The sequence below is a fragment of the Homo sapiens genome, chromosome 1 (assembly GCF_000001405.40).
Source record: "Homo sapiens chromosome 1, GRCh38.p14 Primary Assembly".
Classification (NCBI taxonomy): Eukaryota; Metazoa; Chordata; class Mammalia; order Primates; family Hominidae; genus Homo; species Homo sapiens.
In genome coordinates, this window is record NC_000001.11 from 211,122,462 (window position 1) to 211,146,246 (window position 23,785).

At 41.5% G+C, this 23,785-nt stretch overlaps 1 protein-coding gene and 1 long non-coding RNA gene across 4 annotated transcripts in view, besides 3 other annotated features; both read right to left on the reverse strand.

Moving 5' to 3' along the window:
* Nucleotides 1-11,687, reverse strand: part of KCNH1 (potassium voltage-gated channel subfamily H member 1) — a 455,835-nt gene extending 444,148 nt beyond the window's left edge. For all 3 annotated transcript variants that reach the window (XM_047419823.1, NM_002238.4, NM_172362.3), the window contains exon 1: nt 11,406-11,687. In XM_047419823.1, the coding sequence (XP_047275779.1) occupies nt 11,406-11,484 (79 nt within the window). In that variant the 5' untranslated portion in view covers nt 11,485-11,687. The remainder of the gene's footprint in view (nt 1-11,405) is intronic.
* Nucleotides 9,477-9,677: a silencer, noted in NCBI's record as "peak681 fragment used in MPRA reporter construct". NCBI's record gives its function as "represses an SCP1 promoter by STARR-seq MPRAs in K562 erythroleukemia cells {active_cell/tissue: K562}" and the evidence as "EXISTENCE:reporter gene assay evidence [ECO:0000049][PMID:32103011]".
* KCNH1-IT1 (KCNH1 intronic transcript 1) lies at nt 9,818-10,913 on the reverse strand. Its single transcript, NR_046784.1, has 2 exons — nt 10,727-10,913; nt 9,818-10,565 (listed from the first exon to the last, which is right to left on the reverse strand). It is a non-coding gene; the product is annotated as a KCNH1 intronic transcript 1 (long non-coding RNA).
* Nucleotides 10,904-11,094: a silencer, noted in NCBI's record as "fragment chr1:211306707-211306897 (GRCh37/hg19 assembly coordinates)". NCBI's record gives its function as "represses an EF-1alpha promoter that drives an FKBP-Casp9 reporter gene in an ReSE screen in phorbol 12-myristate 13-acetate-treated (for megakaryocytic differentiation) K562 erythroleukemia cells {active_cell/tissue: K562(+PMA)}" and the evidence as "EXISTENCE:reporter gene assay evidence [ECO:0000049][PMID:32094911]".
* Nucleotides 11,589-11,868: a silencer, noted in NCBI's record as "silent region_1781". NCBI's record gives its function as "represses an Ori minimal core promoter by ATAC-STARR-seq in GM12878 lymphoblastoid cells {active_cell/tissue: GM12878}" and the evidence as "EXISTENCE:reporter gene assay evidence [ECO:0000049][PMID:35858748]".

A 23,785-nucleotide genomic window follows, 5' to 3' on the forward strand; every position in this document is an offset into this window, starting at 1 on the left:
AATTCCATTACTGGGTATATGCCCAAAGGAATATAAGCCATTCTACTATAAAGACACATGCACATGCATGTTTATTGCAGCACTATTTACAATAGCAAAGATGTGGAACCAACCCAAATGCCCATCAATGATAGACTGGATAAAGAAAATGTGGTACATATACACCATGGAATACTATCCAGCCATAAAAAGGAATGAGATCATGTCCTTTGCAGGGACATGGATGAAGCTGGAAGCTATCATCCTCAGAAAACTAACCTGGGGACAGAAGACCAAACACTGCATGTTCTCACTCATAAGTGGGAGTTGAACAATGAGAACACATGGACACAGAGAGGGGAACAACACACACCAGGTCCTGTTGGGGGTGGGGGTAGAAGGGAGAGAGCTTACAGAATGGGTCGATAGGTGCAGCAAACCACCATGACACATGTATATGTATGTAACAAACCTGCACGTTCTGCATATGTATCCTTTTTTTTTTAGAAGAAATAAAGAAAAAAACAGAAACATTAAAAACAAAAAAGACTTGGACAGGGTATAGCACCAGAGTGAATGGGAGGAATCTCAGAACAGCTTTGTTTAATACAACAAATATTTGAGTATCTACTCTGTCCCAGGCATGGCAGGAGTGTAGGGGACACACTTGTCCATTTTTAAGCTATGCCCAGTTTCCCTATATGGCTTTATCTGCCCCACTCTACATATCACAAAACTCCATGTCCTACCCCCTCCACCCAGGCCCCAGTCACAGAAAACTAGGCCTGGAGTGGACCGCTGGCCAAACAACCAATAGTCAGGGCTGGGCCAATAAGATTCTCTCCCCAGAACAAAACTCAGACACTAAAGCTGAGAGATCTGTAGAGTTGAGCAGGTATCTTTGACCACCTTGTTTCTAAGGTGAGTAAATGGAGAAAACTGGTCTTGAGAGAGAAACAGGGAGCTCAGATACACAGGGGAGCATCTATGAGGCCATTTGAAGGGAGAACTGGACAGAAAGACAGGCAGATGGGCAGATATGGATAGGTGGAGGCAGAGACAGCAGAGACAGACAGCAAAGAGACATGGACAGTGGCAGAGACAGCAAAAACAGAGACAGTGATGAAGACAGATGGAAGACGGTGACAGACGGTGACACAGACTAAAGGTAGACAGTGACAGAGACAGGCAGGAAGACAGACAGATGGAGAAAGGAGAGGAGAGAGCGAGGGAATGAAGGGACATAGGGCATGGGGCAAAGGCCAGGCCCACAGAGTACAAAAGCATGAGCCGAGAGCAAGAGACCAATAATAGCAAGACTGAGAGAGTGAGCCGCGGGAGTGAAAGACCAGGAGAGGAGAGGACATGAGAGACTGAGGGGAGAGAATGAGACCAAAGGCCAGAGGGAGATACAAAAAGAGAAGAAGAAAACCAGGAAACCCGGAAATATGGTGTTACTAGGGACACGTGAGAGGTAGGGATTGGGAAGCTGGAGGGGAGGAGACATTTTAAATGAAGAGAAGATGAGGAAAGTGGCCACTCAATGAAGTCAGGCTGGAGCACTGTCCCGGAGTGTTCCAGCCAGGTGGGAAAGCATAAAGGAGAATTTCATCTGACAGGAGAGTGACTAGAATTTAGGAGCTCTTTTTCATTTAAAAAGTATCAGCTATCATTTCAAAATAGCAAATGCAGTATACACACTTATTTCCTCATTCTTGAATGATGAAAAAAGATGGAAATGGAACATGAAAGTATTTTATCGAGCTTGTAGGTAACCAACTCACTGAACTGAAAAGCAAGGGCAGGCACATACTGCCTGCTTCAGACAGAACACAGGTGTTTTTGTGTGTTGAAAGGAGTACCTAAGTGCACATCCCCTCACCAAATTCACCCCCATGACTGAATGGTCTGCACAAAATGTTAAGAAACCACTTTTGGCTCATGCCTATAATCCCAGCACTTTGGGAGGCCGAGGCGGGCAGATCACAAGATCAGGAGATTAAGACCATCCTGGCCAACACAGTGAAACCCCGTCTCTACTAAAATATGAAAAATTAGCTGGGCGTGGTGGCGGGTGCCTGTAGTCCCAGCTGCTCAGAAGGCTAAGCCAGGGAAATCGCAAGCCGAGATCGCGCCACTGCACTCCAGCCTGGCGACAGAGCAAGACTCGGTCAAAAGAAAGAAAGAAAGAGAGAGAGAGAGAGACCACTTTATCCAAAGAACAAGTAATTGGCTCTCTCAGCCAGGGTCTTGGCAGCAAAATATGACATACTCAATGGGTAATTTGAGGAATGTTTAATAAAGGAACTATTTACAAAGGTGTGGGAGAGGTATAGGCAGTAGTGTGTTAGCAAGCTAACTCTGGGAAGAAAAGAGTCCCGATTTATAACACTGGCCAATTTCTAAGGTGTAAATACCTTGCACCTTGGTATAAGCAGTTTTCAAGCTTCCAAAGTGAAGTTCCTGAACCAAGAATAAGGAACAGATGCACATAATCAGATCTTAAGAGGTAGAACCAGCCAATTGCAGCCTGCTCCAGCACACCACTTAGGAAAACCCCAAGACATTGTGCAGTACCCCAGGGTTAGTAACAGCTGGAAGCTTTAAGTCTCTAACCCTACCCAAACCCAAAGAGAGCAAGCTAGAGACATAACCTTTAATCAGGGGAAAACAGCTAGGCTAAGATGACCTCGCAGGAAAGAACAACAAGAATAAGGACTACAACCTCTCTCTTGCTTCCCATTTCGTGTGGTGTACCCCACAAGCTGAAGGCAGCCAAAAGCCAGAAAGCAAGGGAGCCTACAGGTGTACTCTATACAGGTCAGCCTCCCAGCCTCCAACAAGAGACAGGCTGGTAAGGAAGAGTGTGGTTCTAGGGAGGCAAACAGAAACTATTCAGTACCTTGGCCCACACAGAGGCTTAAAGCACAGCCTTAATGATGATGGCATAGAAGTCTAATATATGCAGTCCCCATAATGCTGAGAGGAAAAGAAAGCAAATAAAATAAAAACTTAAATATCAATTTAATGGAAATAAATATAGTCTTATCACTCAAATTAACTCCATTTTCTTTACATGGCCCTGAAGTTCTAGCCTAAAACACATTTTCCAACTTCACTCTTAATACAAATCAAAGTTAAGCCATAGATAATTATCAGTAAAATTTGCCAATACGGTATCAACTTTCAAATGCTGACTCCAGCACTCTGAGAATGCCAGTGGAGGATGTCTACATCGTTGCTTTAAGGGAAGAAAAAGGAGATGGAAGGCCGTTTCTCTTCTTTATAGAAGCACCTGATGTGATTGCAGAACATTTAAAAGGCTATGGGAAATGATGGTTTTTAGTCACTCTCAATTAATAATTACATTAATAATTATAGGATTGACTCAGTTAATTTCAGAACATCAGTTTCATGCAACATAGGACTGATCAAAAGAGTTGTCATTTTACTTTACATAATGAACAATCAGTATGAGTAAGCAAATTGACTATTGGCATAACTCTGTAATACCTAATCAGGAGAATTTTAAGTAGTTTTGTCATTAACAGGAGTGTTTCACTGTTAGAGCAGAAACTGTGAGAATCAAGGGAGATGCTGAAGTTGGCCAGACTGTGATCTGTTCAGCAAGACCACACTTGCAGCAGGGCGCAGTGGCTCACGCCTGTAATCCCAGCACTTTGGGTAGCTGAGGCAGGTGGATCACTTGAGCCCAGGAGTTCAAGACCCCTCTGGACAACATGGCAAAACCCCATCACTACAAAAAAATACAAAAATTAGCTGTGTATGGGGCCGGTGGTAGCTCACGCCTGTAATCCCAGCACTTTGGGAGGCCTGAGGCGGGCGGATCACAAGATCAGGAGATCAAGACCATCCTGGCTAACACAGTGAAGCCCTATCTCTACTAAAAATACAAAAAATTAGCCGGGCATGGTGGCGGGCTCCTGTAGTCCCAGCTACTCGGGAGGCTGAGGCAGGAGAATGGCCTGAACCCGGGAGGCGAAGCTTGCAGTGAGCCGAGATTGCGCCACTGCATTCCAGCCTGGGTGACAGAGCGAGACTCTGTCTCCAAAAAAAAAAAAAAATTAGCTGGGTGTGGTGGCACATGCCTGTAGTCCCAGCTACTCGGGAGGCTGAGGTGGGAGGATGGAAGGATTACTTGAGCCTGGGAGGCAGAAGCTGCAGTGAGCTGACATCGCACCACTCCAATCCAGCCTGGGTGACAGAGTGAGATCCTATAATATCTCAAAAAAAAAAAAAAAAAAAGACTGCACTTGCCTAGAGAACAGCCAGAGCATCAGGCAAATTCCAGTATCTAGGATGTGCTAAAAACTCACACCAATGGATGAGCAACCCAAGACAGCATGCCAAAGAAGACAGAGCAATGGGATATCCCAGAGGAATGTGGTTTGTTTAAAGAAACCTCAACTGCATCAGAACAAAATGTCACACATTCTGCAATCTTCTTTTAATTCACTTACGGGATCTGGTTATCCCACACCCAACCTCACAAAAAAAAATAGCTATAAAATCTAAGAATAATTTTGGGTGAGGTGTTTATAAAGGAAAAATATGTAGTAAGTGTTGAATCAGTATAACATCCCTTAAATCTTTGGAGAGGTTTACAAAGCATGTTGGCCTCCGTCATAGATTCCTCTGTTAGACCCAGCATCACAAAAGCTGTACTCATTTTGGTATTCCTACTTGTTAGCACAGTATTGGGCACATAGGAAGTCCATCGTGCTTATAAAACTGAACCGTAAGCTAGCCTTTGCTTTTTGTTTTAATTTTCCATTGAGTTTTGATTCCTCCACTAAATCTGTGCCTTTCCTTCAGTCATTTTGTTTTCATTTCAGTGAAACAAATATAAATCATTCACTTCCTAGTTCCTTCTCCCTTCCAGCTCTAATTCTTGCATAATCTCTGTCCCCAGGGTTTACTGCTTCTCAAATTAAGAAAATGAATATCCTAAACACACACACACCAAAAAAAAAAAAAAAAAAAATCCCACCACACTTGCATGTACCCTTTGCACATAATTCAAACTGTACAAGTCTTTCGCATCATTTACAATCGTGTGTGAGGGAGCTCCTCAGAGAGAATACTTCAACCCACAGTGGATACTGATGCCTCCCAAAGGGCAAGAGCAAGTTTTGTTTTCATTTAATTTTGGTCATGTGCTCCTATTAACATAACTCTCAATGACCCTGTTTTATTAGGTACTAGATTGTTTGGGCAACATCACTACTAAAGACAAAAGAAGAAAATACCAAATGCTGGCAAGGATGTGCTGCAGTGATAGAAACGCTCACACACGGCTGGTGGGAGTGTATATTAATATAAAACCTTTGGAAAACTGTTTGACAGCATCTACCACAGTTAAACATGTGCATCCTAGGTATACACCCAAGAGAAATGTGTGCCCACATGCTCCAAAAGACATACTAAAAATGTTTGTAGCAGCATTAATAGCACAAAACTGGAAACAATCCATCAGTGGCAGATCGGACACAATGTGTGGTACAGTCATACTATAAAGCACGATGCAGCAGTGAAAATGCATCAACAGGCCAGGCGTGGTGGCTCGTGCCTGTAATCTCAACACTTTGGAAGGCCAAGGCGGGCGGATCACAAGGTCAGGAGTTCAAGACCAGCCTGACCAACATGGTGAAACCCTGTATCTACTAAAAATACAAAAATTAGCCAGGCATGGTGGTGCACACCTGTAATCCCAGCTACTCAGGAGGCTGAGGCAGGAGAATTGCTTGAACCCGGGAGGCGGAGGTTGCAGTGAGCCGAGATCGCGCCACTGCACTCCAGCGACAAAGTGAGATTCTGTCTCAAAAAAAAAAAAAAAAAAGAAAGAGGTAAAGAAAATGAAGCAGTACATGCAACAACATAGAGGAATTGCCACCCGACAAAAGAATATATGCTATATGATCTCATGCATATAAAGCTCCAAAACAGATAAAAATAAACAGTAGTATTTATTAACTATAGTGGGTTTTTTTAGGAATGCAAAACAAACTGGTAAAATTATGAGGAAAAGCAAGAAAGTGATCACCATAAAATCAGGAGATGTCACCCTTTAGGAGGAGAGTGAGGGACTTAGGATCAGGAAGGCTTTGGGGGCTTCTAGAGGTCTGGCAAGACTCTATTTCTTGACACAGGTGGCGATGGCATACAGTATCACTTTATAGAAATATGTTAAGCTGTACAAAATTGTTTTGTGTGCTTTTCTATTTGTCGTACTGAACAATTAAAAAGGTTAAAAGGGGAGAAGAATACAATGCAAAACTTATCAAAAGTTTTTTAAAGGTTTGCAGCTGGAAAAAACAATGGGCTAAGTCAGTTTTGTTCCACGGAGCAGACTGCAAATAAGTGGTAGCTATAAGAAGACAGATTTTGGTAAGACCAAATGACAGCAACAAAGGGAGGAGGAAGAGGCAGAGAGAAGAGAAGAAGAGAAAAACAAGGAAAGGCGGCAAAAGAAACACAATTATACTTGCTTACAAATAGAATATTCCTCACGAGAAAGTGAGGGTCCCATCACTGAAGCTAGTCAAACACAGGCTGGAGAACCATCAGGAGGGAGGTTCTGGAGAGGATTCAGTGGAACAGTGGAAAATGAATTGTATAGCATGTCCCCCCAGAACTAAGATTCTGTGATTCTATTTCTCTTTCTCAACAGTTACAGGTGTGGCCACTTAGAGAAACAGAAAAAATAAAAAACAAGAAAAGTATGGTCCAAATATCCTAAGTGTATAAAGCAGATACTCTAGTAGATTTTAAAATGTTTGTTTACAAGCCATTAACTAATCAAAAATAAAGGGAAGGGAAGAATTGAAGAGCTTCAAGGTAATGCTCAAGGAACCACTCCCAAATGAGGTCCAACCATATATGCAGAGCTGGCATCGGAAACAATGAAGCCAAGGATTCAGTTGACCCACAGTGTTCCTCAAACACATCTATTCTTTTAAGATAGATTACTAAAATAAATGGGTTGCATAAAAGTCATGGAATTTGGAAGCTTTATTTCCTTAACATTAAATGACAAGGCTTCAGCTTCTCAATCCCCCATCTAACATCAGCCAACAGATTTAACTTTTTGACACTTTCAGAGAAAGATAGCTGAGCCTTGGCTGAAGATTGTCTTAGAATATTTTACAAGAAAAAACAAGCTCTGCTGAGCTGGTAATAATCCAGATTATCATCCATTCCCCCTTGTAGAGGCACAATGGATTTTAACCAGTTTTCTGTTTTATAAATATTACCATGGCTCAAAACACCCATGAGGAGACACAACATTACTCGTGGTTCTCATCCTGTTTGCTAACTAATTATATCAACAACCTGAACCAACTTAACACTATACAAAAACACAGCTGATTTAGCAATCTGTAAATTATACATGTACATAAATCTGTACCAAAATGTGCTGTGTTTCACTCCTGCTAATGTGCATGGATTTTTACTGGCACCTACAATTGTTTGATATAGGTTCCCGAACACTAAAACATATGTTCTGCCCAGAATGGGACCATTTAGAGTAATATTTTTGTAGTTTCCTGGCACCAAGGTCTGCCAGCCTTTCTAAGACAGATCTCCTATTTGCTTCAGCAAACATTCTGACAACAAGTGCCTGCAGATTTAAGCAACTATCAAAAAATATTCTGTAACAACAGTTTCCAACCATGAATATAAAGAGAAACAGGCTGGTTTTGCCTATGTGGCAACAAAGCCAGTAGGATTTAAAATGATCACTGACATGACCATAAGCAAAATCAAATAAAATATGGAGTATTAATTATTTCTGCTGCCTACTTACGGCAATTTAAAGAACAGATAATTATCAAATCTTTCCTTAAATGGGATTCAAAATGTACCAAAGAAAGTTAAAAGTCGGTTTTAGTACCAGCAAGACCAGTAAACACCTTAGAAATGTTTTTTAAATACAGTGACAGGCCTAAACAGTCGCAGCCGGTCAACACTGTAAAATAGGGGCAAGAACCTTGGACCAAGATTCACTAGAATGTAATTTACTAATCACAAGGAGGGTTTCTTGTTTACCACTGTATCCTCAGTGTTCCATAAATACATTCAATAAATCTTTGTTGAATGAATAAACCAAAAACAACTGCTGGCTAGTCCCTGATCTGTCTCTAATTGCCTTTTCCTAATTCTGCCTCTTACGAATTGTAGGTAAATCACTTAACCTGAGGATTCTTAGGTGAGTTTTAGTTTAAGGATTTTAGTTCCTTAAACTCTAAAATGGAGAGACTGCACCTCCTCTACTAGCTTATGAGGATCAAAGGTGATACTCTGTGAAAAGTGACTTGGTACTTTATAATGGGGCACACAGATGTTAAGTGCCCATTATCCCCGCCTTTGCCTTCAGCTAAACCACTGACAAAGGTGAACAGACTGCATTTCCTTGAAATATAATTAGCCTTTCCTTTGCCCTATTATTCTGTTGAGATGTGGTAGTGTGGCTGTTAGCCAAGATGGATGTTGTTCTTGTTGTTATAACATTTTATTTAATCTCCACTGGGAAATTATGCTTCTTGAGAGAATATAATGGTAACATGAGGAAAGGGTTTTTGCATGGTGTACCATAAAGAATCTGACATTGGACTCAAATGGTTTGGGGCCTCATTAGTTCTGCCCTTAAATATTTGAGGAAAGCCTCTTGCATCAATTTCCTTATTTATACAATGATGGGGAAGGAGAGGCAGACTAGATAATATTTAAGGTCTGTCTCTTCCCACAGCTCTATGATATTCCGGGCATCAGATATTCAAATAACCCAAAATGAAGTCAGTACTATTATTCATTATCATATGAGAAGTTTTTAAAGGATGATAAAAATAGTTCCACAGACTAAGTCATAAAAGCTGGAGAAATTATAATGCTGAGAGAAGGATATATGATAGATGTCCTCTAAGGAATACCAGCCTCAGGCATTGTTTGCTCTGCCACTTTGAATAAGCCACTTAATATTCCTAGGACTCAGTTTTCTGATCTGTAAAAGAGGAACATTAATACTGCACAGGACCACTGGGAGAAAATATCTAATAAAATGATCATAAAATATTGCTATTCAAAGGTAAAATGCTATTTTAATACCGTAATGTCCAAAAAAGGGCTCATGGATTTTAGAATGAGACAATCAATATCTTTAAATAGACTTTTTCCACCACAGTAAAATAATATAATGCATGCAGATATTGTGATATTTCTAGGAGTTCACATTTTTTCTTCCATTTGTGTTCAGGAAATATTATAAAAGGGATCACCTTTTAAACATTGAGTCCCATATTTCAAGATGAGAACCATTTATTCTGAAATAATAATTTTAAAAATTCATCCAACTCTCCCAAGATGCTTCATTTTTTTTGATGCTATTCATTTGATTGGTTAATTGAAATCAACCTGCTGAAACTGGTGTTGAAATGACAATGCCCATCCTAAAAATATTCCCAGTGACTTATTCTATTCACATTCTATGATTACAGAGGGAAAGTGGCTCTAATAAGATCAACTAAAATAGACAGTATTCTGCCTTCACAGCTCCAAGATTCTTAAGGTTCCCTTAAAACCCAAGGCATCTTGTGACTTTTACATGTAAGTTTCTCTTCCTGCTCCCTCCACTCAAAAACATACACAGTATACATTAGGTACTGGGTTTCCCCTCTAACTTACAGGGCACTGCCTCTTTACTGAAAAATAGAATTGTCATTGATATTTATGAGAAAGTTGGTGTCACTGACAATGGGATAACCAAATTTGCAAGATTGTCTCCATACCCCTTAATAGTCCAATAAAAATAGCAATAATAGCACAGTAACTCTTATTTTATTTAAAAATAAATGAACAACTCCAGCTTTTTTATGGCAAAACAGTTCATTGTGGCTGTTCACATAGCAATTATCATCCCCTTGCATCCCCAGGTAATGACTGTGACCTTGACCTAAAAGCCACCTTAGTTTGAATAAGGAAGACCTTGAAAGGAAAGGTGACTGACCAGAAACACTCTTAAGAGGCACACAATAAAGAAATGATCATTTCTAAGAAAGTACTTAAATAATACGTGATTATTTGCTATGCTAGTTGATGTGTTTCATTATAAGATAAACTTAAATCACTGTTTAATTAAAGAGTGTTTATTAGTAGCATAAGTCACTTTTCATGCCCTTCCCCTGAATCCCTAACTAAATCCAAACAGAAGCTCATCATTTTACACAGAAGCTCCTTAGACTCTGAAATCGTGATATTTACACATTATTAAAACCCATTTCCTAAGTTAGCTCCTCATGTCTCCCTGGTAGAAGAATGTCATCTGTTTCTGGAAGGGGTGGGGTGGGGGCTCTAGGAGTCTGCAAAGAGCATCTTATGCTTGGCTATCTTTCAATATAGCCATTTGATGAACTCGTGCGCTGCGCCTTCCAACTGCCAGGACTCCTAGTCGCTCTGCAAGTGCTTAGTTGGGGTCTCTCCTCTGTTAAGTCCGAAAGGCGTTTGGAATTCTTCCTTTCCATCCCCGCTCCTAGGACTCTCGCCTCTCAAGGCTTCATGCTACCGTCGATCTTAATGCCACAAGGAAACAGATGAGTGCTGATTGTCAGTTTATTGGGTAATGGATCTATTTATAGGTTTGGTGAGATTGGGAATTTATAGGTGAGCAACACTTAAGGGTGGCATAAAACCGTTGTGGGTTTGGAAGAGGGGAAATATAACAGGTTTGTACCTGTGACCATTTAGTTCGCTCTGCACCTGTGCCCTCCACTTCCCACCTGACGCCAGGAAAACCATCTGCCCCTCACTTCGAAGGTGAGCCTTAACTTCACCTAGAAAGTGGTGGGTGGGTGAAGGGGTGGAATCAGGCCGCCGAGAGCACGTCCCGACACCTCGGACTTTTCAGTTGCAGGGATGGAAGGTGGAGGCAGCCGGATCCTCCCATTCTGAGGCAGCGGGGACCTGGAGTTGCCCGTCTCTACTGCTGGCTCTCCCTGGGGAGAGGCGGCGCCTCTGGGAGCAGCCCGGGAGCCCCAGAGCCTTCGCGGAAGGGTGGGCAGTGCCGATGGGGCGCGCGCTGCCGCTCCGGCTGCAGCCAGCTTTCCATCACTTTTCCCAGTACTTTGCTCAGCAGCTGTCACGCATCCTTGGAGATAAGACCGAGAGGGCGCTAGAAAGGCCCAAAAGGCGTCCCCAGAAGAGCTCTCCTGTTAGGATGGGGACCCATCAGACCCCGCCCCGCCCTGCCCACCTTTCTCTGCCTCGGGGAGGCTGCCCTGGGTGCCCGCGCCGCGGCTCCTTAGCAGAGCTCGCGGGTTCTGCTGCATCTGCTGGCTCCGAGCGGCGAGAGGTTCTGCAATAAAGGCACGGATAAAACGCCCGGGTAATCGAAATCCGAATGCACCTCTTACCATTGGACCGCCGAACAATATTCTCCAGAAACGTGTTTTGAGGGGCCACTAGTCCCCTCCTGCCCCCAGCCATGGTCATCCTCCCAGCAGCTCGGGGTCCGGCGGGCGTCCTGGCGCGGCTTCTTACGACAGCAGGAAACTGGCCTCGGGGCCCGCACGCAGTCCCGGCTCGAAGCGCCCCATGCGCCCGGCGGGGATCCGCAGGCAGGGCTGGCGGCTCCCTCTGGCTGCTACCCTCGCGCCCTCTTCGCGCCTCCCTCCCTGCGGCCCGCCTCGCAGTGCACTCGCGCCGGCCTCGGCTAGCGGCAGCCGCCTCCGGGTGGGCGGAGGGAGCAGCGGCGCCTGGGCCGGCGGCGCCCCCTACCGGGCTCGTGCCCCACCGCCGGCCTGCGGGAGACCAAGCTGGGGGGCTCCCGCAGAGGCAGGGAAGTGGCGGGCGGCCGTGGACCAAGGCTGGGACGGCAGCGCCACCCTCTGGGTTCAGCCGGGAAATGTGTTCAGGATGTGCCATGGGCTGGGTGGAGAGGAGGGCATTGTGAGCAGCTTTCAGGGCGGATTCACCCCCAACAAGTCTTAGGGGAGCGTGCTGATGTAACTCTCTTCCTTTGCTCTGTTTCAGGCCGGGGCCCCCGGGACCTGTGAGGCTCTGGGAACACCTTCTTGCCTTCCTGTAAGGTTAGCCTGACTAGTGAAAGTTGCCCCACCTTGATTCTAGGCCAGTGTTTGAGCAGTAATTAATGAAGTCGTATTGCAATAGTGCAGATTTAGAGTGACTGGCAGATTCAGCTTCAGAAGAGTTGTCTTGGGTTGTTTTTACCGTAGACACAAATGCAGGCTCCTGATGTTTGGTATGATCAGTATCAAACTGCCTGACAAACATCAAAGGGGTGGACTTGTCTCTAAGGGCGAATGCTCAGGAGAGGGGCAGCATTAATTAAGCAACCGTGGCTTTGGCTTGAAGGGTAGTCTGTAGTGCAGAGGATACAGTTAGTTTTTACAGCTGACCCCTGGTATACGGAAGAACCACATACACCCAAGGTTTCTGGACAGGGGCTAAGACAACGGTCGTTTGTTCACTTATTTTGGGGGATTTCGACCCACACATAGTCTGTACCTGCCTTTTTACTATGTATCCCCAGTCGGTGCGGTGGGAGACTAAGCCTATGTCCCACAGGAGAAATGAATGGAGAGTTTACTAGTTTCAGACTGAGTCAACAGTCAACACAAAAATGTAAGAGAAAAAAAAACTAACCCTGAAAATTAATTGTCTGGGTTAGCCATCCTGACATATCCTAATGTATTGCAAAGACATCCTGTCTCAGTTAATTAATTTCAAAAACAGAAGAACTAATTCTTGCCCAGAAATCTCTCAGAGTTGCTGTGAAGATCAAGCAAGAATTATGTATGGGGACAGCACCTTAAATTGTAAAGTGCTGTGCCAAGGTCAGACGTCATTATTGGAGTGACTAAATAAATTGGGCCATTACGAATATCACCCTTTATCTCGTCTTGTGTAGAGACAAAGTAAACAGATTGCTGTTAGCAGAGAGTTGGATAAGACTGTCATAGGATTTGAAATGCAAGTAATGATACACTTTTTCCTTAAGATAGCCTTCTACCCATCGCCTGTTACCTAGTCTAGAACAGTGATTTCTTAAACCCTAGCTCCGTCTAGTGGTTCTTTGTTCTATTACAAATGAGATAACACTGGTTGAAGAGAACTTGATTCTGAAATGTATTTGGTGCTGAGCTGAGCCAGTTTGGTGCCTATCCACTTCATTTGAATAAGTTCATTTAAATAAGGTTTTTAAAGTTGTGTTATCGCACAAACATGCCAAGGGAAGATTTTTCATGACAATATTAAAAACCCATCAAGAAACCTCATAATCCTGCTTGTGAAAGGAAGATAAAGAAAATAATGTGGAGGGGAAAACTATCATAGAGAGTTAATAAAATTTCTAAGGTTTTAATGAGCTCTCATGTTCTGTGGCTTAGATAAAAAAGGAAACAGATGATATTAGTTTGAGATCAGAGATGTTAAAGCCTTGGTGGGCAACCTGATGAGAAAAAGAAATAAGATGTCTTCCATTTTAAATGTACTACTGAAATGGATCTCAACATGGACTCTGTGTGTGTGTGTATGTGTGTGTGTATTGGCACCTTTTTGAATACTACAATTTTTGGTGGCACACTTGAAGAAATTAAAAGACCTAAAACAAAATAGTGCTACTACAAAGTGGTTCTTTTTTTTAAAGTTTTAAACCTCCAGATTGTGTGCCATAACACGATCACATTATTTTACGTCTTTTTGCTTAAATAAGACTGGATGCTTATAAAAGCACTGTTATACTGTGTTATGGCACTTTAAGTACTTGCTTAGAAATGATCATTTCTTCATTGTGTGCTTCTTAAGAGTGTTTCTGGTCAGTTACCTTTCCTTTCAAGGTCTTCCTTATTCAAACTAACTAAGGTGGCTTTTAGGTCAAGATCACAGTCATTACCTGGGGATGCAAGAGGAAGATAATTACTACGTGAACAGCTACAATGAACTGTTTTGCCATAAAAAAAAAAAAAAAAGCTGGAGGTGTTCATGGATTTTTAAATAAAATAAATATTTAAGAATTAAATTGCTAAAAAGTCAGCAGTCTTTCATCACAATGTGAGTGTCTCATGGTGTCTGTGGAGGTACATCCAGTTTTTCCCCCATTCCCTTGGTTCACTCACAACACATCTGACTGCAGGAATAAAATCATGTTCTGCCCTGTCCACAGCCACATTCTCAATATTCCAGTAAACACTCCCTCTTTCTTGGTGCTAGTTGACGGGATACTGTGCTTCTTACCTTTTACTTGCCACCTTTTGTTCCCTCCTTGACATTCAGTTCCAGCACCTGCTCAACTTAAAGTTCTGTCTGAGATCTACCTCTGTAATATGGGAATCTCAGTTAGAGTAAACTTTAATCTTACAGATTTGTCAAAACTTGGTAACAGATTTCTAAAGGATTCACAATATACCAATGTACCATGGCAAACCAATTGAGAACGCTTATATTTTTGCATAACAGACAAAGCCACTCCTTCATTTAAAGGGACAACTTTAAATAACTGTGACCAGAGTTCCAATTCAACTGCCTCTATCCTTCCATGCAGAAAATGTAGCCCATTTTCTGCAGGGATACAGAGTTCAGATACAGAGTCTGAAATAAATTCTAAAATGTGAGTCTACTATTTCTAGGCTTCTTTCCTCCTGTATCCCTCAGCATTTTGTTTACCCCTTAGCTATAAGATGTGTTTATGTCTGTATCACACCGTAGATTGTGAGCTCCTTGAAACAAAGACACACTATAACAATTTTTGTTCTTATAAATGCTATTAAGCTACACTGTAATTAGTGAGTTCACAAAAGTAATAGATAGTGATGAAGGCATAATGCTATAGGGAGAATATGGAGATGGTGATCTGCAGATTGGCTGGGAAAAGAGTCCAGGAGATGACAGAAAAATCTCTCCCAACAACAACAACAAGTCTATCAAATGAAGAGGATGACAATGCCACACATCAGAAGGGGCAAATGTTATCATATAAAGACAGGAACTTCATTTTTCCTTCCATTAAGACCACATGGTGTGGGTGACAGATTTTAGAAAGCCAGGAACCTCTCTAACATAGGAAAGTTGCCTGTGAGTCCTAGGTCTGCGAGCTGGAAGGGGCAGGCCATGGATGCATCGTCATTAGCAACTTAAGCGGAGGAGAAATTGAACATAGAGGCGACTTCACTACTCAGCCACCAGGAGTGAAATATCTAAATATCTAAAAGTGGAGGAATTTGCAGCATGAGAAATTTCAGCTTCTATAGCCCAATGACTGACTGACTTATTATATGTGATTTCTGTTAACAAAACTTCTATTTGAATAATCTTATAGGAAGAATGTTGGGCAGACTATATCCATTGAAAAAAAAAAAGATTCCCTGCTATAGATGTATTTCCCTAGTGTTGGGAGAATGGACAGAATCTGCTTCAAAGGAAATACTAGTCCCTGAATCTAATTGACTGGGGAAAAGAATGCACTGATGTGGGTCTACACTCACCCATGGTTAACCCAATAGATAGTGTGAAATGTTTGTAGAATTGAATTATATCCTTCCAAGTGCCCTAAGCTATTCTTCTTTCTCATTTCCTCTAAACAAAAGAGAAAAGGATCTTTCATCACACCCTTCCCTCAGTGGGAAATAATTAAAAGTCATTTACAACAGTCTCATTTTATTATGACAAACATTTGCATCGTGTCTAGTATATAGCAGACAGGGATAGGTTCTAAGGATTAAAAGATGGTTATGATTGGCACCTGCCCTCAAGAAATTCAACAAATATTTAATGAATGTGTATGTTCTTCGTCATTTCTTTCAACTGCTTTCCTGTCTCCAATGTGCCCTCTAAATCTTCCTTTCTTTTTAAATAATCTATAGTTCAACTTGACCTCTTCGCTTAAGATTTTTTTTTTTTTTTTTTGAGACAGGGTCTTGATCTGTTGCCTAGGCTGGACTGCAGTAGCAAAATCATGGCTCACTGCAGGCTCAACTTCCTGATCTCAAGTGATCCTCCCACCTCAGCCTCCTAAGTAGCTATAGGGGCAGGCCACCATACCTAGCTAATTTTTTTTTTTTCTTGTAGAGACAGGGTCTCCCTATGTTTCCCAGGCTGGTCTCGAACTCCTGGGCCTGAGCCCAAGTAATCCTCCCACCTCAGCCTCCCTAAATTCTGGGATTAAATGCATGAGCCACCACACCCAGCTAAGACTTTCTTTCCTCCTCTTAACTGAGATCTGGCTTTCCCCTAAAGTCTCAGAGTCCCGTCGGTCCCACTTTTTTGGAATATATTTATTCTGTCACAGTCCATGTACCTAGAAGCCAGAAGTTGAAGTGAGAAATTGTCTAGTTCCTCATTGCCATATTTAAACCACTGCTCTTCTCCATTCATGTAAAATTTCTCCTACTTTGAAGTTCATGAACAATGTCAATATCACTATACTTCAATTCTTAAAACAAACTTGGGGAAAATTGTATTCAGTTATGAAAAGGCTGAGTTGCCTGCAGGACATTTCAGAGAAATATCAAGTAGGTAGTTGGATATTCACATCTAGAACCCAAGAGAAACATCTGGGTGGTGCTCAAAATTGGAAATCATCAGTTTATAGCTTTCAAAGGAGACTGAGAAGGAGCAGTTTAGAAGTGGAGGGAACCGAGAGAAGTGGTTTTATAGAAGCCCAGAGGGGAAAGGTCTTTAAATGAAAAGAAAGAAGAAAAGCATCATTTATTGTACACTGTAGAGATAAACACTGGAAAATGTCCATTAGCTCTAATGATTAGTTGGCCATTTGATACTTTAGTGGAAACATTTTCAATGGAATAGTAGAGAGGGAGCCAAAGTGCAAGGGATTTAAAGATTAAATAGAAACATACAATTAAGCCGGGGGCAGTGGTTCACACCTATAATCCCAACATTTTGGGAGGCCGAGGCAGGTGGATCAGCTGAGATCAGGAGTTTGAGACCAGCCTGTCCAACATGGTGAAACCCCATCTCTACTAAAAATACAATATTAGCTGGGCGTGGTAGCAGGCACCTGTAATCCCAGCTACTTGGGAGGCTGAGGCTAGATAATAGCTTGAACCCAGGAGGCGGAGATTGCAGTGAGCGGAGATCACGCCATTGCACTCCAGCCTGGGCAACAAGAGGGAAACTCCATCTCAAAAACAAAAACAAAAACAAAACAAAAACCAAAAAAAAAGAAACATACAATTAAGATGTCAGATGGGGCTAAGGTGCAGTGGGTACCACTTTCCTCTCCTAAGCATACAGAAATGCCAGGTAAGGCTGGGCATGGTGGCTCACGCCTGTGATCCCAACACTTTGGGAGGCCTAGCCGGGTGGATCACTTGAAGTCAGGAGTTCGAGACCAGCCTAGCCAACATGGTGAAACCCTGTCTCTACTAAAAATAAAAAAATTAGCCTGGCATGGTGGCACACGCCTGTAATACCGGCTACTGGGGAGGCTGAAAATTTTATTGAAAACTTTATCCATGTCTATTGAGATGATCACATGGTTTTTGTTTTTAATTCAATTTATGTGGTAAATCACATTTATTGATTTGTGTATGTTGAACCAACCTTGCATCCCAGGAATGAAGCTTACTTGATCATGGTGAATTAACACTTTGATATGCTATTGAATTCGGTTTGCTAGTATTTAATTGAGGATTTTTGCATCTGTGTTCATCAGGATGTTAGCCTGTAGTTTTCTTTTTTTGTTGTGTCTTTTGCCAGGTGTTGGTATCAGGGTGATGCTGGCTTCACAGAATGAGTTATAGAGGAGTCCCTTCTCCTTGATTTTTTGGAATAGTTTCAGTGGAATTAGTACCAGTTCTTCTTTGTACATGTAGTAGAGTTTGACTGTGAATAGATCTGGTTCAGGGCTTTTATTGGTTGGTAGGTGTTTTTTTGTTTTTGTTTTTTTATTTACGGATTCAATTTCAGAACTCAATATTGGTCTGTTCAGTGTTTCAATTTCATCCTGTTTCAATCATGGGAGATTGTGTGTTTCCAGGAATTTATTTATGTTCTCTAGATTTTCTGGTTTGTGCACATATGGGTGTTCATAATCATTTCAAAGGATATTTTCTGTTTCTGTGGGATTGGTTGTAATGTCACCTTTGTCGTTTATGATTGTGCTTATTTGGATATCTCTTTTTTGTTATTCTCGCTAGCAGTCTATTGATCTCATTTATCCTTTCAAAGAACCAATTTTTGGTTTCACTGATTTTTTTGTACGGATTTTTGGGTCTCAATTTCATTCAGTTCTGCTCTGATCTTAGTTGTTTCTTTTATTCTATTAACTTTGAGGTTAGTTTGTTCTTGTTTTTCTAGTTCCTCTAGGCATGACGTTATTAATAGATTATTAATCTGAGAGCTTTCTTTTTGAAGTGGGTGTTTAGCACTAAACTTCACACTAATTTTGCCACATCCCAAAGATTTGGCTATGTTGTGTCTCTATTTTCATTAATTTCAAGGAATTTTTTAAATTTCTGCCTTAATTTCATTGTTTACCCAAAAGTCATTCAGGAGTAAGTTGTTTAATTTCCATGTAATAGTGTGGTTTTTGTTTTGTTTTGTTTGAGATGGAGTCTTGTTCTGTCACCCATCCTGGAGTGCAATGGCACAATCTCAGTTCACTGCAACCTCTGCCTCCTAGGTTCAAGCAATTCTCCTGCTTCAGCCTCCCAACTAGCTGGGATTACAGGCATGCACCACCACACCTGGCTAATTTTTGCACTTTTAGTAGAGATGGGGTTTCACCATGTTGACCAGGCTGGTCTAAAACTCCTGACCTCAAGTGATCCACCCACCTCAGCCTCCCAAAGTGCTGGGATTACAGGCATGAGCCACTGTACCCAGCCAATAGTGTGGTTTTGAGAGATCTTTTTCGTATTGATTTCTATTTTTATTCCACTATGGTTCAAGAGTATGGTTGGTATGATTTTGATTTTTTTAAATTCAGACTTGCTTTATGGCTGAGAATGTTGTTGATCCTGGAGTATGTTCCATGTGCAGATAAGAATGTATATTCTGTGGCTGATGGATGGAGTATTCTGTAGATGTCTATTAGGTCCAATTGATCCAGTGTTGAATGTAAATCCAGAATTTCTTTGTTGACTTTCTGCCTCAATGATCTGTCTAATACCGTCAGTGGGGTGTTGAGTTTCCCTAATATTCTATGGCTGTCTAAGTCTTTTTGTAGGTCTATAAGTACTTGTTTTATTAATTTGAGTGCGCCAACATTGAGTGCATATTTAGAATAGTTAAGTCTGGTTTAATTGAATACTTTATCGTTGTACAATCCCTTTCTTTGTCCATTTTAAACCTTTTGGTTAGTTTAAGGTCTGTTTTATCTGATATAAGAATAGTAATTCCTACTCTTTTTTGTTTTCCATTCGTGTGGTAGATCTTTCTCCAGCCCCTTACTTTGAGCTGATGAGTGTCATTAAATGTGAGATGGGTCTCTTGCAGACAGTAAATGAATGGGTCTTGTTTTTTTATCCAACTTGCCACTCTGTGCCTTTTAAGTGGGGCATTTCGACCATTTACATTCAAGGTTAATATTGATATGTGAGGTTTTGGTCCTAGTGTGAAGTTGTTAGCTGTTTGCTTTGTAGTCTTTATTGTGTGATTGCTTTATATGGTCTGTGAGCTATGTACTTAAGTGTGGTTTTATGGTAGGAGGTATCATTCTTTCATTTCCATGTTTAGAACTGCCTTAAGGATCTCTTGCAAGGCTGGTTTAATGGTAATGAATTCCCTTTGTGCTTGTTTGTCTGGAAAAGATTTTATTTCTCCTTCACTTACGAAGTTTTGTCTGCCTGGATATAGAAATTCTTGGTTGAAGTTTCCTTTCTTTAAGAATGCTGAAAATAGCCCCCAGTCTCTCCTGGCTTTTAAGGTTCCTGTTGAGAAGTCTGCTGTTAACCTAACAAGGTTCCATTTGCACATAACATGACCATTTTCTCTAGCTGCCTGTAAGATTTTTTTCCTTAACGTTGACCTTGGACAGTTGGTGACTATATGCATTGGTAACTATATGCATTGGTAACATTCATTTTATACGGTGTCTCATAGGTGTTCTCTGGATGTCTTCTATCTAGATGTCTATTTTTCTAGCAAGACTAAGGAAATTTATTGGATTATTTCCGTGAGAATGGTCATAAAGAAAATACAATCAAACCAAAATATGCCATGAAAAGAAAAAAAAAAAGATGTAAAACATGAATATGGTAAATGGTAAATACATTGAAAGTGACAGAAATAAATTCAAATATATCAGTAATCACAGTTAATGTAAAGGGATTAAATTTGCTTTTTCAAAGAAACTTTTAGATCAGAAAAAAAAAACACCACCTTTTGGTGGTTTAAAAGAACCTCATGTGGAGCACTGTGATATAAAAATGTTTAAAATGTAAAGAAATGGGCCAGATGTAGTCCCATGCCCGTAATCCAGGGTGTTGGGAGGCCAAAGCAGGAGGAACACTTGAACCCAGGAGTTCGAGAATAGCCTGGGCAACATAGTGAGACCCATCTCTACAAAAAAAAATTTTTTTAATTAGCCAGGTGTGTTGGCTCATGCTGTTCAGCCTAGCTACTTGGGAGGCTGAAGCAGGAGGATCACTTACGCCCAGGAATTTGAGGCTCCAGTGCTATGATCATGCCACTGCACTCTGCCCTTGGCAACAGAAGGAGACCCTATCTCTAAAAAAATATAATAAAAACAGGCTGAACATGGTACCAAATGCCTGTAAACCCAGCATTTTGGGAGGCTGAGGTAGAAGAAATGCTTGAGTCCAGGAGTTTGAAACCAGCGTAGGCCACAAAGCGATACCTTGTCTTCTCACACACAAAAAAAATTTTTAATAAAAAAATTAGCTGGCATGGTGGCATGCACCTATAGTCCCAGCTACTCAGGAGGCTAAGCAGGAGGATCACTTGAGCCCAGGAGGTTGAGGCTTCAGTGAGCTATGATTGAGCTACTGCATTCCAACCTGGGTGACAGAGTGAGACCCTGTCTCTAAAAATTAAATAAAAATTCAAAAATGAAATAGAAAAAAAGAAAAGAGGCCATGCATGGTGGCTCACACCTGTAATCCCAGCTCTTTGGGAGGCCGAGGCAGGCAGATCACCTGAGGTCAGGAGTTCAAGACCAGCCTGGCCAACATGGTGAAACCCCACCTCTATAAAAATACAAAAATTAGCTGCGTATAGTGGTGGGCACCTGTAATCCTAGCTACTCGGGAGGCTGAGGCTGGAAAATCACTTGAACCCAGAAGGCAGAGGTTGCAGTAAGCCAAGATCGCACCATTGCACTCCAGCCTGGGCGACAAGAGCAAGACTCCACCTCCCAAAAAAAAGAAAAAGAAAAAAAAGAAAGAAAGAAAGAAAAGGATATAGCAGGACTTTAGATTCAGGCAATATTTCAAATTAGAAAACTTTAAAACCCTCCTACTATAAATATCAAAAAATTCTGGAGATGTGTGTGTGTGTGTGTGTGTGTGTGTGTGTGTGTATACAACCTTTTAAATAAATTGCTGAACTCCAGTGAAATCAAGTAAATTCCTCAGGAACAAAAAACAGAGACAACTGAAAACCAAAGCAATGAGCACAAGCACAGTGATCTGACACTGTGACTGCCCAAGCAATTTGGGGAGGAGAGGGTGGAAACCCCGATTAAGGCCAGGTCAAGAAAAGTTTTATTGTCATGCTGAATTCAGGCTTTATTCTATGAACAATCTAGTGTAATAAAAGTTTAGGCAAGTGCATGACATGATTTGTATTTTATAAAAATATCTCTGATGGCAATGGGATAAACGCGCATGTAGAGAAACAGAGAAGGAAAGTTGAGTAAGGAAGACAAGGGCTATGCTATGACAATGGTAAGGGAAATAGAGAAGACTGCATGGATATAAGAGCTGTGTGTGAAGTAGAATCCTCAAAACTTGGTGAATCTGTGGATATAAGAATTTGAGTTAGAACGTCAAAAGTCGTAGCCAGTATTCTGCCTGGACATGTACGTATACAATGGAGCCACTCCTTCAACGGGGAGCACAAAAAATTTCAAAAAGAGAATCTTCCTCCTCCTTTTGAGGAGGCTGAAAAACAACAAAACATCTCTGACCTTAAATACCTAAATTCTGGTTGAGTGAGACTGGCAAAAATAAATATGTTTTTCATGTCTTAAAACATAGATATCTTTCACCACCTTTAATCATTTCATTTTGGAGCTAAAGGAGAATGCTTTAGAGCAGGTATAATTATTATAGAAAATATAAACTATCAGAATTATTTTACAGCATGGGACTTTGGAGATAAGTGCCATTATGTTAAGGTAAGGGGTACCTCAGTTGTTGCTCAGACTTTCAAAAGATCCTTTGACATTTTCTTTTCTAGTTGACTTCCTCAGCTCATTCATAAGATTGGAATCTTTAAAATGTTACTGCAATCCAATTCTAACATGACTGTTGTTAAAAAAAAATCTTATTTTATCTTTTAACGAAACATTGGAGTATCTAACTAGTACTTTGATAACCCCACAATATTAGTTACCTATTGCTGAAAAAAATTACTGCATAATTTAACAGCTTAAAACAACAAATATTTATTATCTCACAGTTTACTTGGGTCAGGAATCCAAGTGTAGCTTAGGTGGGTGCCTTTGGTACAAGGTGTATCATAAGGCTGCAATCAGGCTGCTAGCTGGGATTGCAGTCTCATCTGAAGGCTCAGCTGGGCAAAGGATCATCTAACCTCCCTCACATGGATTTTGGCAAACTTTAATTCCTCACAGGCTGTTAGACGAAAGCCTCCTTCAGTTCCTTGCCATCTGGACCTCTCCATTGGGCAGCTCACAACATAGCATTTAGCTTCCCACAGAGTGAGCAAGTGACAGAGCAGAAGAGTGACTGTCTAATATAAAAGCCACAGCCATACAGTCTTTTTCTTTTTTTCTTTTTTTTTTTTTTTCTGAGAAGGAGTCTCTCTCTGTTGCCCAGGCTAGAACGCAATAGCAAAATTTCAACTCACTGCCGCCTCTGCCTCCTGGCCTCCCAAGTAGCTGGGATTACAGGCATGCCCCACCACACCTGGCTAATTTTTGTATTTTTAGTAGAGACAGGGTTTCACCATGTTGGCCAGGCTGGTCTCAAACTCCTGACCTCAAGTGATCTACCCACCTCAGCTTCCCAAAGTGTTGCGATTACAGGCATGAGCCACCACGCCCGGCCCAACACACTCTTTTTGTGACCTAATCTCAGAAGTAACCTTCCATCCCCATCACTTCTACTATATTCTGTTTATTAAAAATCAAGCTCACACTCAAGGGGAAGGGATGACACAAGGGCATGAATACCAGGAGGCCGGGACCACTTTCTTAGAGGCTGCTTACCACATCTACTTTTGACCCTAAACATCTATCAACCATTGTCTACCACATTCTTCCGTATCTTTGGGATACTCAGGTTACTTAATTCATTAACCACTACCGCACCACCACAACCTTTACTTCCCAAGTTATTCAGCTTAGATGGCATGATCTGTCATTTTAGTAACTTTCTCACTAGTATCTTACCTGGCCTCTCTATCTTTTCATAATGCCTTATTCGAGATAAACACACTATCTACTTTCTCTTGGCAGGCATCCAGGCAGCTAAGCCATGCTGGATGAAGTTGCAAAACAGGCCAGGTTGGCATCACTATCCCTTAATGATTTCCTGTTCCACCGGAGCCTTCAACACTGTCTGGCAGTCATGTTATACTGCTCTAAATAAGCTTGCTTTCTACTCTT